Source organism: Homo sapiens, chromosome 10 (genome assembly GCF_000001405.40).
Source record: "Homo sapiens chromosome 10, GRCh38.p14 Primary Assembly".
Taxonomy (NCBI): domain Eukaryota; kingdom Metazoa; phylum Chordata; class Mammalia; order Primates; family Hominidae; genus Homo; species Homo sapiens.
The window spans coordinates 18,152,847-18,167,189 of NC_000010.11; the positions used below are offsets into that span (position 1 = coordinate 18,152,847).

At 38.4% G+C, this 14,343-nt stretch overlaps 1 protein-coding gene across 7 annotated transcripts in view, besides 1 other annotated feature; it reads left to right on the plus strand.

The window, feature by feature from the left end:
• CACNB2 (calcium voltage-gated channel auxiliary subunit beta 2) overlaps positions 1-14,343 on the plus strand; it is a 403,134-nt gene that overhangs the window by 12,423 nt on the left and 376,368 nt on the right. The gene's annotated exons all lie outside the window — the stretch shown is intronic.
• Positions 9,110-9,279: an enhancer, noted in NCBI's record as "experimental_11486 CRE fragment used in MPRA reporter constructs". NCBI's record gives its function as "activates a minimal promoter by MPRAs in K562 erythroleukemia cells, with activity observed for both the introgressed and non-introgressed 10:18450970 variant alleles {active_cell/tissue: K562}" and the evidence as "EXISTENCE:reporter gene assay evidence [ECO:0000049][PMID:34662402]".

The following is a 14,343-nucleotide window of genomic DNA, read 5'->3' on the forward strand; positions in this document are numbered from 1 at the left end:
GCAAGACATAATGAATAGAAACGAACAGTGTAGAACCCGTTATTAGTCATTTAATCCCTGTAGAAACGCCACGTGAAGGCAGTCACTGGACTCCATTTTCAAATGGTATTTTTGGCTGTGAATTCCTTTTTCATAGAGTTTTAATAACCCAATTCACATGGCAAGGAGGGATTACCATAGTGTGTATAAGTAAACTGGAATTTGTTTTTCTTCACGGTAATTTTCTTTTGTGTTCTTAGTAATGTATGTAGCTTTAAACACCATTATAAGTGATAACAAGAGTTGTTAAATGATTTAATGTAAATTTTAGTATATATTGCCAAAACATACATAAGCGTGTAAGAAGGCAAAACCAAATTTATCCCAAAGGGTAAATATACAGGTCTGTTTCCTAGAATATCAATAGGACGAGGTGTTTGCTATGGCATGGCTTTTGGGGTAATGATTACACAGGCGTATCATTGAAAACCCTCAAATGCTGGCTTGCATCTGTCACAAAAGGAAAACTAGCGTCTTTGGCAAGAATTCTGAGTTAAAAGTTGTATTTCTCCTTTGGTAATTTAATCTCTATTCTGTTAAAACAGCATTCCCATTTTGCTGCCATTTGAAAATAAGTAAAAGCTGCCATAAGATAGCCAGATATTTAATAGAAATGGTTTCCTGGAGTGTTTGCAGGAATGCATGGCAGATAGTGACAATGGGCACACTAGATTTTACTTATTTATTTATTTATTTATTTATTTATTTATTTTTGAGACAGGGTCTCACTCTGTTACCCAGGCTGGGGTGCAGTGGCGCGATCTCGGCTCACTACAACCTCTGCCTCCTGGGTTCAAGTGAGTCTCCTGCCTCAGCCTTGCGAGTAGCTGGGATTACAGGCACAAGCTACTATGCCCAGCTGATTTTTGTATTTTTAGTAAAGATGGAGTTTCACCATGTTGGCGAGGCTGGTCTCGAACTCCTGACCTCAGGTGATCCGCCCACCTTGGTGTGCCAAAGTGCTGGGATTACAGGCATGAGCAACCATGCCCGGCAGCATACTAGATTATTAAGTAATTAGAAAAAATACCTTTACATGTTGTTTTTTAAAGTAAGTGTATGTTTTTTAAACAAGTGACTTGCATCGACACATATTGCGTACTTGTCTGTAGCTAGGGAACATATATAATTGGTATTACAAAGATATTTGCCCAATAGAATTTTGTTTTAAAATATCTTGCAGTTAGAGTCTACTATAGCCCTTTGATTAAAAATAGTTCCTATATAATTTTAAAAACCTTAGAATTTTATTGTTATAAACAGTATATGATTTGAAAGAAATTTAAAAAGTAAAATATTCAGAAACACTAGGTATACTTTTAGGTAGTCTTTATAATACCAAGATTTAAAAGTTTTAGAGGTTGATAATGTGAAAATTTGACATAAAGGAAAGGAATTAAGAACTTTAAAAAAAAAAAAAACAACTTGGAGAATATCAGAGAGTTTGTTAAGGAATAAATTGTCCTCCTATCCAACCCTCAAATTCATCTTTAGAAGCGCAGACACCCAGTGTGACTATATTTGGAGATGAGGCCTCTGGGAGTGGGGCTCTAATTCATTAGGACTGTTATCTTTTTTTTTTGTTTTTGTTTTTTGTTTTGAGGTGGAGTCTCACTCTGTCGCCCAGGCTGGAGTGCGGTGGCCTGATCTTGGCTCACTGCAACCTCCATCTCCTGGGTTTAAGTAGTTCTCTTGCCTCAGCCTCCCCAGTAGCTGGGATTACAGGTGTGCACCACCATGTCTGGCTAATATTCGTATTTTTAGTAGAGACAGGGTTTCGCCATGTTGGCCAGGCTGGTCTCAAACTCCTGACCTCAAGTGATCCACCCGCCTCGGCCTCCCAAAGTGCTGGGATTACAGACATGAGCCACCGCACTGGGCTGTTATCCTTTTAAGAAGACAAAAAGAGAATGAGGTTGCATGCACACAGAGAAAAGGTCATGTGAGGACACAGTGAGGAGGCAGCAGTCCGCAAGCTAAGGCGAGAGAGGCCTCACCAAAAAGCAACCCTGCTGACACCTTGACCTTGGGCTTTTAGTTTCCAAAACTGCGAGAAAATTAATTATTGTTGAAACCACCCTGTAGTAATCTGTTATGGCAGCTCAAGCAGACCAATAGAGATTAATATATAATTAGGCTTGAAAATGGGCCTTTTAAAATCAACCTTCTTATTGATCATGTAACATATATGCCAAAAAGTGCACAAATCATGTGTTCAGCCTGGTGAGTTGTCATAAGGTCAACCCCTGTGGAGCCACCACCCAGGTAAAGAAATAAGCATTCAGCCTCACCTGTCCCCTTTTGGACCTTTCTCAATCATATTCCCTCTTTCCTCACTAAAGATAATCACCATCCTTACTTCCAATACCATACATTTGTTTTACCTGTTTTTGCAGTTTTATGTAAATGGAATCATTTTGTATCTGAATTCTTTCACTGAACATTATGGCTGTTATATTTATCTATGTTGGACATTTTAGTAATTTGTGGATTGTCTTTGGTTGATTTTGGTTTGTTGGTGTGATTTTACAGCATTCCACTGTGTGGAAAGACCACATTTGATTTATGTGCTCTACTGTTGGTAGACATTGGGCCATTTCCAGTTGAGGGAACTGAGATTGATGTTCCTATGCACATTCTTATGTGCTCCTTTCATACACATATGTATGCATTTTTGTTCAGTGAATAGAGTGGAATGCTAGGTAATATGGCATGCCTGTGTTCAGCTAAAGTAAACATCATGAAACAGTTTTCCAAGATGGTTGTACCAGTTTGCACTCCCACAAGCAGTGGGTGATGGTTTCAGTTGTCTTACATCTTTGCTAACACTTAGTAGTGTCAATCTTTTTCATTACAGTCAGTTTTATGACAGTGCAGTGGTAGCTCAATGTGGTATTAATACCCATTTTTCTGATATCTAACCCACAATTTAACTGTGGCTAGGCCTAGGGAACATCTAGAGAACAGAGAGAGAGAATGAGAGAGAGAGGGAGAGAGAGAGAGAGAACATATTATATATATATATATATATATATGTCAATATGCCATATACATACCATATATATCACATTATATACATGAAAGGTTTTATCAGAGCATTTTATTACTCTTTGTAGTCAATTTCTCATTAGTCATAATTAATTCTGTAGCAATTTAATTAAAATTATAAATATTAGAATATGGTGAAACATATTTGAATATATTGTAACATCAGCAGAAAAAGGCTACAAAGTAAAAGGGTAAAAAGCATTTACCAGTGGTTTTATCTTTCCAGACTTTTAGTTGTATAGTTTAGTTAGGTAACGAACCTTATCTTTAAGAAGAATCACTGGTCTTAAGGAAAGTTTTCTTCTTGATATGTTTCTGTGTTAGGCTCTAAAGCAGAACAGCAGCTACCTTGAAAGAATTTTTGCAGTTATATATAGATGAAGGTTCCATTTTGTTAATAAACCAGTTCACCATTAGTTAGTCAATTAACTAGTCTTCTGGCCCTTGACATTATCAACTTATTTGAAGTCAGTGATATGTTACAAGAGGATTGGGGAAATGACATGCCCCATGAAGTTAGTTAATTTTCCCCCGGAAACTGGATTCATGTTAGCCTTTGGGGTAAGGGCTGAGTCTTGATCCAGTAGTACAGGAAGGGGTCTGTCCATAGGGGTCATTGGCTGTGCGTGGCAGATGTTAGTGGGATTTCCCATGAACTGTGAAATATGAGGTTGCTGTTGGTTCTATTCCATATAAACTTGTTGTAAAGTGATAAACTAGCTCATCTTATACAGTACATCAAATATTTCAAAGACAGAATCTGTTCTTCCTTGCAGTTTCCTAAAACATTAATTGGAACAAAAGTTAACTGTGGGCTGGGCGTGGTGGCTCACACCTGTAATCTCAGCACTTTGGGAGGCTGAAGCAGGAGGGTCACCTGAGGTCAGGAGATCGAGACCAGCCTGACCAACATGGAGAAACCCTGTCTCTACTAAAAGTAGAAAAAAAAAAAAAAATTGGCTGGGTGTGGTGGCGCATGCCTGTAATCCCAGCTACTTGGGAGGCTGGGGCAGGCAGGAGAATTGCTTGAACCCAGGAGGCAGAGACTGCGGTGAGCCGAGATTGCGCCATTGCACTCAGATTGCGCCATTGCACTCCTGCCTGGGCAACAAGAACGAAACTTTGTCTCAAAAAAAAAAAAAAAAGTGAACTGTGGTTTATCTGATTGCTTTTTAAATGTCATTCTTTTAGGTTGCAGACAAAAATGTTACCTAGGTGCAATACATGATCACTTATATACTGAACGTATAATTTCTATATTTATCTTTTATGTAAATTATGATGTTATAAGATTTATTTAAACAGTTTTCTTCAAGAAGCTGGTTAGTGGCGAACGCCTGGACTTGGAAGCCAGGCTACATGAGTCTGAATTCTGGCTTTGCTATTTATTAGTTGGCCTTTGGACAAGTAACTGAATCTTTCTGTACAGCAGCTTTTTCCTCTGGAAAAAAAATGCTTACCTCAAAATTAGGTGTAAGGATTACATGAGTTATCACTTGTAATTTGTTTAGAACCATACGTAATATGCATTATTTAAGGGTTTATTACTATTATTTGTAAATATTACTGCCTATTTGTAACATTAGTTAAAACCCGAATAAGAAATAGACTATGGAGAGGGAAATAATAGTGTTCATTAAATGCTTACTTTAAGTTCTGTCTCCCCGTTTCACAGATGAGAAATGGAGGCTCAGAGGTGAAGTGACTTTTCCACAGTCACGTCAAATGTAAGGTTGGAGTCAAAATCTGAGTCTAAGTGATTGACTCCAGATTCTTGTCCTTATTGGTTATGCTATACTTCCTTGTAGCTAAAGGAAATGAATAAATTATAATAACAATTTCATTCTTTCATCTAAGGAAGACATGCAGAAAAATTCCTACGACAAATACATAGAAAGATAAAAGTTAGTCTTCTACTTTTAACTTCCTTCTGTACCGGAAAGTGAGAATGTCTTCAGCGTTGTAAATTTTCACTAGGCATCATGATTTTTTTTTAGATCGGCATAATTCCCTTCTCTCATGAAAAGTTCCTCAGATTCCTAGTTTGTGATACTGTTTGGCATCCTCCAGCACTCTTGCTGGTCATGAAAAGTGGAACTGGAATTGGAGGAGCATTTATTTTTTTCCTTTCTCCCACAAAAGTCATAGGAACATAAACTTTTTGGAATTCTGAAAGTCCTTTTTGAAAAGAAAAATAAACAGAAATGAAATCAAGTATGAATCACCTGTTTTGAGGTTTGGCGGAGGCTGATGTGGGCCCATGAATCACTCCTGTTGTGAATCTGGGTAAAGTTAGGCATATTTATGGCACCTAGTTTTACAGTAACCTCATTTAGAAATTGCTTTCCAGTTCATAAGGGCTTTTGCTTTGTAAATTGTCATAATTTTAATTTATTACGGAGAACAAAGTGTTAAACATAACCTCTAGGCACTGTTATTAGAATGAATGAATATTATTTTCAAATTGTTTATGTGCTATAAGAGATTCAATACATAAAGCTATAGTTATCTTGGACTTGTTATTAAGATTATTGCAGCTATTGAGGTTGTCTTCAATTCCCGTAGAAACTCTTTGGCTATGGGTTGAGAACAGATACATGAATGAAAAAATTTCATTTATCATTGTAATAAACCTGGAAAAGCTATAATTCTTAATCTTTTGTATTTAGTACTTTGCACAAATTTATAGCCTATTAAGTGAATTAGTTTTTCATATCACTTCTTTTCTCCTAACTTCATCAAAAGAAAGGAAAAAAAAATCTCTAAGTTTAGTTGTCTTAGAAGTTTATTTTAGAGCCAAAATCTAAACAGATAAATTAACTTACTGGAAGAAAAATAGGTGGGGAAGAGTAACAAGTCCTGCTTGGCATGGATGGGTAGAACATTTGTGCTGTTCTTTTCAAGAGATTGTGCAAGAATTGCTAAGTGTATAAATTCTTTGATGCTGCCAAGGTCAGGGAAAAATATGTACATCTGCAAATAAGTACTGGTTATCAAAGTTAAAGCAGCTTTGATGAGGGGGGAGGTAGAGGAGGCAGTGTTAGTAACTGCCACTGCTTATTTAGTGTAGTTCTGTTCTCTCTCATTCTCTCTCTTCCTCCCTCCCTCCCTGTTTTGTCTTCTTTTTCTTTTTTGAAAATGTCTTCATTTTCTTAAAGACATGTGTTCTCCTTGGCTACATTTATGTACCTGGCAGCATTCCAAAGTTGAACACCAAATGCTAAGAGGATGACTGCCAGCTTTGCTTTATTTTTATGATTCCACAGCATGGCCATTTTCATTGAAAGTACATTGTCATCTGAGCTTTCTACTCTATGCTCCTGCCGCGTATAGCCCGGACTCGCGAACTGTTTACACTGATTTTTTTCCATAGGTTGCTGCGTTGCACACTTGTGTCCTTTGTGCAGAAAGTTGAGCTTTAGGAATCCACAACTGTTTTTGGGATTTTCAAGCGCCATTGTTCTTTGGGGTTAACGGGGAAGAACTTTGCAACTGATCAGGGATTTTGCTCACCAACATATGCTGTGGTTGTAACGAAATTATCCTGTAGCTTCTAACAGCTTCTAGAATACAAATCAGGATGACAAAATGGAATGAACCAAATATTTAACAGAAGGTTGCATGACACTTTCAGAACATGGTATTCTAAACAAATTCCGTCGTCTCTCAGTACCTTGTTCTTGGTGCTGCATTTTTGGATCTTTTATATTAGTTCAAATTGGCTTTAAATGCAAATGATTAATCACAGAGGCACACAGTCTATTTTTTAGTTTTGTTTTGCAAAGACAGATTAAACTGCGATAATGATTACAGACTCCAGGCCTGCGTAGACTGATATGTTTAAGGTTGGATAAATCTTTCAGCCCTTAAATACTGGCCTGTTGCCTTGTTATGCTGTATGCGTCACAAACACACTATAAATAATAATTCAGTAGATTTATTGCCACTGTGATTTCCTGTAAATTTCTTTTTATCTTATTATGGAGTCACTTAGATTTTGTGAATGGCAGAGTCTGTTTGGTGTCCTAAGAACTCATCTTAAAGATATCAGTATAAAAATATTGACCTTTTTAAATAAAGAAGTCCCTTGTTTTTTCTGTAGGATAAGCCTGTATACTATTAAAACATTTTACTTTTTTCTTTTTAGGAGATATAGGTACTTTAGAAAGTATTAAAACAAAATTTAGATTTTGCACTTCAACATATAATTAATTTTAACATGTCTCGTTGAACATAATTTTGGGGAGAACAAGGGTTTGATTATAGAAAAAATCTTCCTCATTCATATATTATTTTTAGGTATTTGGAACACTTTATAAACTAGGCTTGATTAAGTGCTCCAGTTATTAAAATAATTTTGTGGATTGAGATTTTTTTATGTTTGCGTATATACTTTTCTATGAAGATACATCATTTTAAAACCAAGAATTCTTTCTGTAGTTACTTTTATTTTCTTCAACTCTCAGATATGCTTTGAATTACACTTTCCACCGATACCTCATTTTCTTCCATTTTTATTCATCTTCTGTTTGGTTAAACCATATAAAGTCTTAGAAGTCACGCAAACTGAATTAACCTTACTAGATTGGTTGAAAGTTTATCTTGATTATCTAATATAAAGTAACTAGCATAACTAGGAAAATAGAATTTCCTTAAATTCTGAATTTATAAAAAGCATGTGTTTCAGATGAATCATAAACTTTTAGGAGTACTACTGAAGATTACTTACTTAGCTTAAAGTTAGTTATTCTTGTGTCTCAGGTCTTCCCAGGCATGGCATCTAAGGTGGTGGTCTGGTATGATCAAAGAATACTTCCCTCTTCCCTATTCTGTCACTTATAGATGTAAATATAGTCAGTTCCTTTCTCTCTTGTTTTGTTTCTGGAATCTTCACATTTGATGATTATCACATGCTGGAGAAGTCATTTTTGAGGGTTCAGTATTGAGACATAATCTCAAAAATATTTGCTATGGCTTAGTTCATTAAGTAAGTTTTCCAATTTTTGTCTCATCTTTAGTCCGCAATTGTGACCAAGCATGTGTGTCTGTTACAAAGACCTGAGTTGGTGAAAAAGGAATGGTGTCTCCCCCTACCCGCCTCAGAGCTGATCATGCTCCCATTCACCATGTATTTATTGCAGTTGGAGGATAAAGAAGAGGGGAAAACAGGAAGATAATCCAAGAAGGATGGAAGAAGCTCTGTAGAGTCTTCCATTAATTCATATTTAGGAAAATGTAGTAAAAGTTCTTCAGGAAGTCCCTGTCCCCTGCCATTGCCTTGGCCATCTGTGTTATCCTTCCAAAACTGTCATCAGGTTCTAGAAAATTATTTTGGCTTCAAGCCTGACATCTCCATTAATATTTTCTTATATCCTTAGTATCTGTAGAAAAGTGCCAGCCTCCATTTCTTCTTTTGCATAGAGTATGGGGATCGTGTGATTGTTTAGACTTCTGTCAAGGTTACTTTGCCCTGACCATACTTTCTCCTCTTCCTGTCTCAGAGTCTGAACACTATGACCCTACCAGCTTTTCCTTCTTGGAAAGCACATCTCTGAGCCAGGGGTCTTCTTTCTCTTGTAGGTGTAACCTTAAAGTTTAGTCCTATTCATGACCCCCATTCTCATTGCCATGGAAAGATTTGTTGATTTCTTGGTGGTCCAGGTGCCGCATCTGAAAGTTGGAACATGGCAAATCTCTTTTTTTTTTTTTATAACAACTGCCCCTTCCCACCAAAACAAACAAGCAAATTTGAGGCCCAGGCAGGTGAATCACCTGTGGTCAGTAATTCAAGACCAGCCTGGCCAACATGCTGAAACCCTGTCTCTACTAAAAATATTTTTTAAAAATTAGCCGGGCATGGTGGTGGGCACCTGTAATCCCAGCTACTGGGGAGGGTGAGGCATGAGAATCACTTGAACCTGGAAGGCAAACATTCCAGTGAGCCAAGATCACACCACTGCACTCCAGCCTGGGTGACGGAGTGAGACTCCTTCTCAGAAATAAAATAATAAAATAAAATGTAAAAAATAATACAATAGATGAATTGTATTAATTTCATGACAGCCATGAATAGACACATGCATTTGTACATATATGTGTGTCAGTACGTGTTCTGTAACTTTTAGGTTTTCCTTTTATTCTTTTCTCTCTCATATTTAAAAACAAGGCTATATTTTACAATGTAATTATATACCTAAGTCAGTATCCTTCACAGTATGCTAAGATTATTTAGAAGTAATTTTATACTTCCATTTCTCATAGCACATTACCTCATCTATTGAGTTCTTGAAGTTATTACTTTAAGCTTATAGAAATTTAACACCTAAAAGCATGAGAAATAAAGAGCCTCACTTAATGTTTCTCTCTGATAATTATAAGGAGAGCTGAAGCAAGGAGAAAACCCACATGGTAAGCCAGAATGCCCTGCTGTGGAATTATTACTTGTCAGGAAAAAAAAAAATCGAGGATCTGATGTCATCTCTGGCTGATTTGTTCAATGACGCGTACTCGTTCACCAATGTGTGGATCGTACTGAAGAACATTGTTTACTCTTTTCAAGGTCTGATTTCCAGTCATGCTGCTTTCTGAACAGAATGTGTTTAAGGAGTAAAGTCTAGAAATCTCTAGGAAATATTTCTCTGTCAATTAGATTATTATTAACATCAGGGATCTGAACACGTGCATTTTGAAACCAATTCCCAGTGGATTCTCTATGACCTGGAAGAGCTCAAGGGGTCAGACTGGGTCATAAAAACCTTAGGTAAGAACCAGCTCCTAGGGAATTAGTAAACCAAGGCATGACTTACTTACATAACATCAGCCATTCGTGAACCTGGAGGAAGTATGTGTTCATAGAGGTGCAAAAGAAAGCCCTGTGTGAGCCGAGAGGAAGTGATGTGTTACTCTGAATAGTGAGCATAGATAGTTTTTGCACACTGATCGCAACATTGATGTAAAACAGTGGGGATGCACAATGTGTTTCTGGGATGGTAAATACCGGTAGGCTCAGATTCTGGGTTCATGGAGAAATGGATAGAAGAGATCGATGGATGGGTGCATGGAGTTTGGAAGCTTACAAGGGCACCAGGCCATGAAGGACCTCCAAGACAGGATATATATGAAGCAGTGTGCCGGAGGGGATGAAAGGCTTACAGCATACACAGAGGTCGAAGAGTTGGAAAATCAAGCATCGTAAAGGAATCATTTGATAAAAGGTGGTAAAATAGTGGACGCATGCTGACCATGTGCTAGCTACTCTAGTGAGTACTTTATTTGATCATTTGCACAACTCAGTGAGATGGATGATGTTAGTATCCCCGTTTAACAGATGATGAATGAAGACCTTGACAGATTAATTAATTGGCCTGAGTATATATCCTTATAAATATGTAGTATTTATTATATCAAATTGGTATTACTCTTGGGAATGTTTACGTGTTTGTTGGGCAACAAGAGACTTTTCAACAACAGTGATACCTGAGATCTGGTAGAAAAGGGGGTGGTGATTCTAGACCCTTAGTGCAAAGCCACTGACCATGACCATGGGCATGAGGCACTAAGTCTTCGCCCCTGAGCCAGGACTTTGGCAATACCTTGGAAGAGGGTTGCATCCCAAGAGCTGAGTTGGCCTCAGGCAGGGCCGCAACACTGACATCAAGAAATCAGGGGGTCATCTGTTTCGTATTGAGCATATATCAAGAAACAGAGGTGTTCAGTTAGTGAACCTACAGAAAGGTTATATAGGTGTTCATTGGACCATTCTTTTGCTTTTTCTACCGGTTTGGAACTTTTCAAAATTAATAGTGTGGTGCAGGAGGAAGTGGTAGAGTGGGTGGGAATGGACAGGGGCTAGGTCAAATAAAGGGCAGGAGTTCTGTGAGAGAGACCAGGACCCCAGAGCAGGGTTATTAAGGTTATGAGGTTGGTGCTTGGTTGACTGTGTAATCTACTGTGGCACGTGGAGAAGCAGTGCTTTCACTCATCCTAAGGCAGAGTGGAATTGTGGGAAGGGGAAGGGAGTTGTTGGAAGATTCCTTAGATGATGTCCTGCCTATCTGCCTCTTCAGAGATGTTTTGAGGGCCAAAGGGCAGGACTAAATCAGAGTTGGGAGGTAGAGGTTGATGCTTTCTATTGGCAAGGTTATTACAGAGTTTTGCAGTTTTAAAAAGATCTTTGTAAACTTTTACGACAGATAAAATACCACCATGTGCAATCACAATGTAAACAGGTTTTCTACTAGATGTCAATTGAAGGTCACAGGGTTTAGAGCTGCAGACAGCTGTTTATCTTAAGTCCCTGTTGTGGCTTTTTCTGTGAACTTATGTAAAGCCCTTTGAACCAGTGCCACTGACTAATAGACGTTTTCCCTTGCGCAGAAGTGGTCATTAGTGGTCATATAAGTTGAAAATCAGCCATTCTCTCTCTGCCTCAGGCCATTTGTTTGTGGGAGAGCAATCGTTGAAAGAAACTAGGTTATTTGGTTACCAAGAGACACTGCCCTTTACCATGAGTAATTACCCTCTTTTGGAAGAAGAATTGGTTAGTGTGTGTTAGACAATTCTGCAGGCAATGGGTCTTTGGGGAGATGTTTACAATATTCCTAGAAAAGAGGCCAAAACAATTTTACTAACATTTTTCATTGTTTCTGGCTCTTGCAATTAATACAAGAAGCATGAACATCCTGAAGCTGTGATCTATAAGGCAAACGAGATAAACTGTATAATAATGATGGTAGATTACACGTAGCCTGATTTCAAACCCAGATGTTTCAGCCCGGACATCTGTGTTTAGTCTTTTTTACTCAAAGCAGAAGAATAACTCTGGATTTAGGACTTGGAGGTGTCTACATTTTATTATGAAACTATTTCTCTGACCGTTTTGTGTGCGTGTGTATGTGAAAACTGCGTGGGAAACAGGCCAAAAATACACGGACTTCCTGACTCTGCTAGACTTTATTTGTACTAAGTTCTTGTCATGGGTTCTTACTGACTCATTCATTCATTTATTCATTCATTTTTTTTCACCAACATATGGAGTGCCTTTGCCAGGCAGTGGGCCAAATGTAGAACAAAATAACATGGTTCCTAGATTAAAATATTAAAGTATTGATGTACTCATGATGTGAAGTCCAGCATTACGAGTTCTGCAAAAGAGCTGAATACAAAAATGTGGTGGGTACACGGGGAGGCGACTGATTAATTCTACTGTTGGGAAGAAGAGGGAGCATTGCCAAGAAAGTCATATTTGAGCTGGATATTGAAGAATGAGTTGAAATGTTCTAGGAGAAGAAATTGGGAAGGAATGCGTCATCCGAGAGCTCATCCTGTGGAAGGGCAGAGAGGAGGGATGGAAAGCGATGAGTTCCATCTGCTGCGGCTGGTGGCTGGCTGAGTCCAGATAGGTACAGTGCAGCCAACTCCTGAAGGTGTCGATGTCAAAACAGAGAGAAACGATGTCACTGCACCTGTGCCCTCTTTTGGAAGAAGGCACAGGTTGAGGTGCAAAGGCACGATCTATCGCCCAGGCTGAAGTGCAAAGGCACGATCTCGGCTCCCTGTGACCTCCGCCTCCCAGGTTCAGGCGACTGTTGAGCCTCAGCCTCCTGAGTAACTGGGACTCCAGGCGTATGTCACCATGCCCAGCTAATTTTTGTTTTCTAATAGAGACAGTGTCTCACCATGTTGGCCAGGTACAGGTAGTATACCTGCAATATCGTGTTGCTTTTCTCAAGACCACTATTATGCCAGGGAAGTTGTTTATACATCTTTTGAAACACCTTATTTACATATACCAATTCTGAATAACCTGTACAGGAAGTAGTCTATCCCAGTAAACATCAAATAAGAGTGTATTTTTATAGCTTGCTCTATTAGTGTGGAACATTTTAAAGGGCAGTATGTTTATTAACAAATGCCACATGTCTTTTCATTTCCTTTGCAACTGACGTTAGATTGACCATAGATGTTTACATTTCTATGGTTTGAAGAGTTGTAAGTTTCTGGGTCCAAAATATTGTGTTCATGTTAGATTTTAGATCGAAAGTAGTCTATTAAGAAAGTTATTTAGCTTAAAAATCAGGCTGTAAATATCAATTGATCTTATATTCGTAATATATATGACTGTATATGTACAAGTATACATCTGTTTCCTTCTATGGATGTCTTTAGGTTTACATTTAGAATGAATCTAGATTACTTATGTAAACTAACGTTATTATTAAGGTCATAAGTATTTCTAGGATAAATGAACAGTGACAAATCTTAAAAATTAAGACACTTCAATCCTGATTCAATTAATAATAATTCAATTAATAATACAGATATTTATGAGGATTTTTTTTTTGAGACAGACTGTAGTTCTATCCCAGGCTGAAGTGCAGTGGCACAATCTTGGCACACTGTGACCTCTGCCTCCCAGGTTCAAGCGACTTTCATGCCTCAGCCTCCCGAGTAACTGGGACTACAGGCGTGTGTCACCATGTCCAGCTAATTTTTGTTGGCCAGGCTGGCCTCAAACCCCTGACCTCAGGTGATCTGCCCACCTCAGCCTCCCAAAGTGCTGGGATTACAGGCGTGAGCCACCGCACCTGGCCAAGTTTTTGTTTTAATCGCTAAACTCATAAATATTCCTAGATATGCTTAAGAGATTAGATACCCTTTATTATTTTGTGGATAGTTACTTGACCACCAGTTCTATTGGCTTGTGAAGTCTAGTCCAGGACAGAGGAGAGGAGAGTAAAAACCACTGAGGGCCCCAGGTGGCTCTAGAATGGAGACAGGAGAAAAGAACATCACACTCTGGGGACTGTTGTCGGGTAGGGGGAGCGGGGAGGGATAGCATTAGGAGATATACCTAATGCTAAATGACGAGTTAATGGGTGCAGCACACCAACATGGCACATGTATACATATGTAACAATCCTGCACGTTGTGCACGTGTACCCTAAAACTTAAAGTATAATAATAAAAAATAAATAAAATAAAAAAGAAATGCACAGAGGAGGGAGGTGCTTTCAGGCCCCTAAATCCCCTGAATCTCCAAGTCTTCCCGTTTCCTCTCCCGCTCATTGAGAATAAGACTGGAAATCCTGGAAAGCCCTGGGCTGGCCCTCCAGCCTCCCTTGCTACTCCACCTGCACCCTGTTCTTCAAGGTGAAGGTACCTAGAATAATTATTAGCTGCTTAAAAAAGAATGAAATCATGTCTTTCACAGCGACATGAGTGGAACTGGAGGGTATTATCCTGAGTGAACTAACT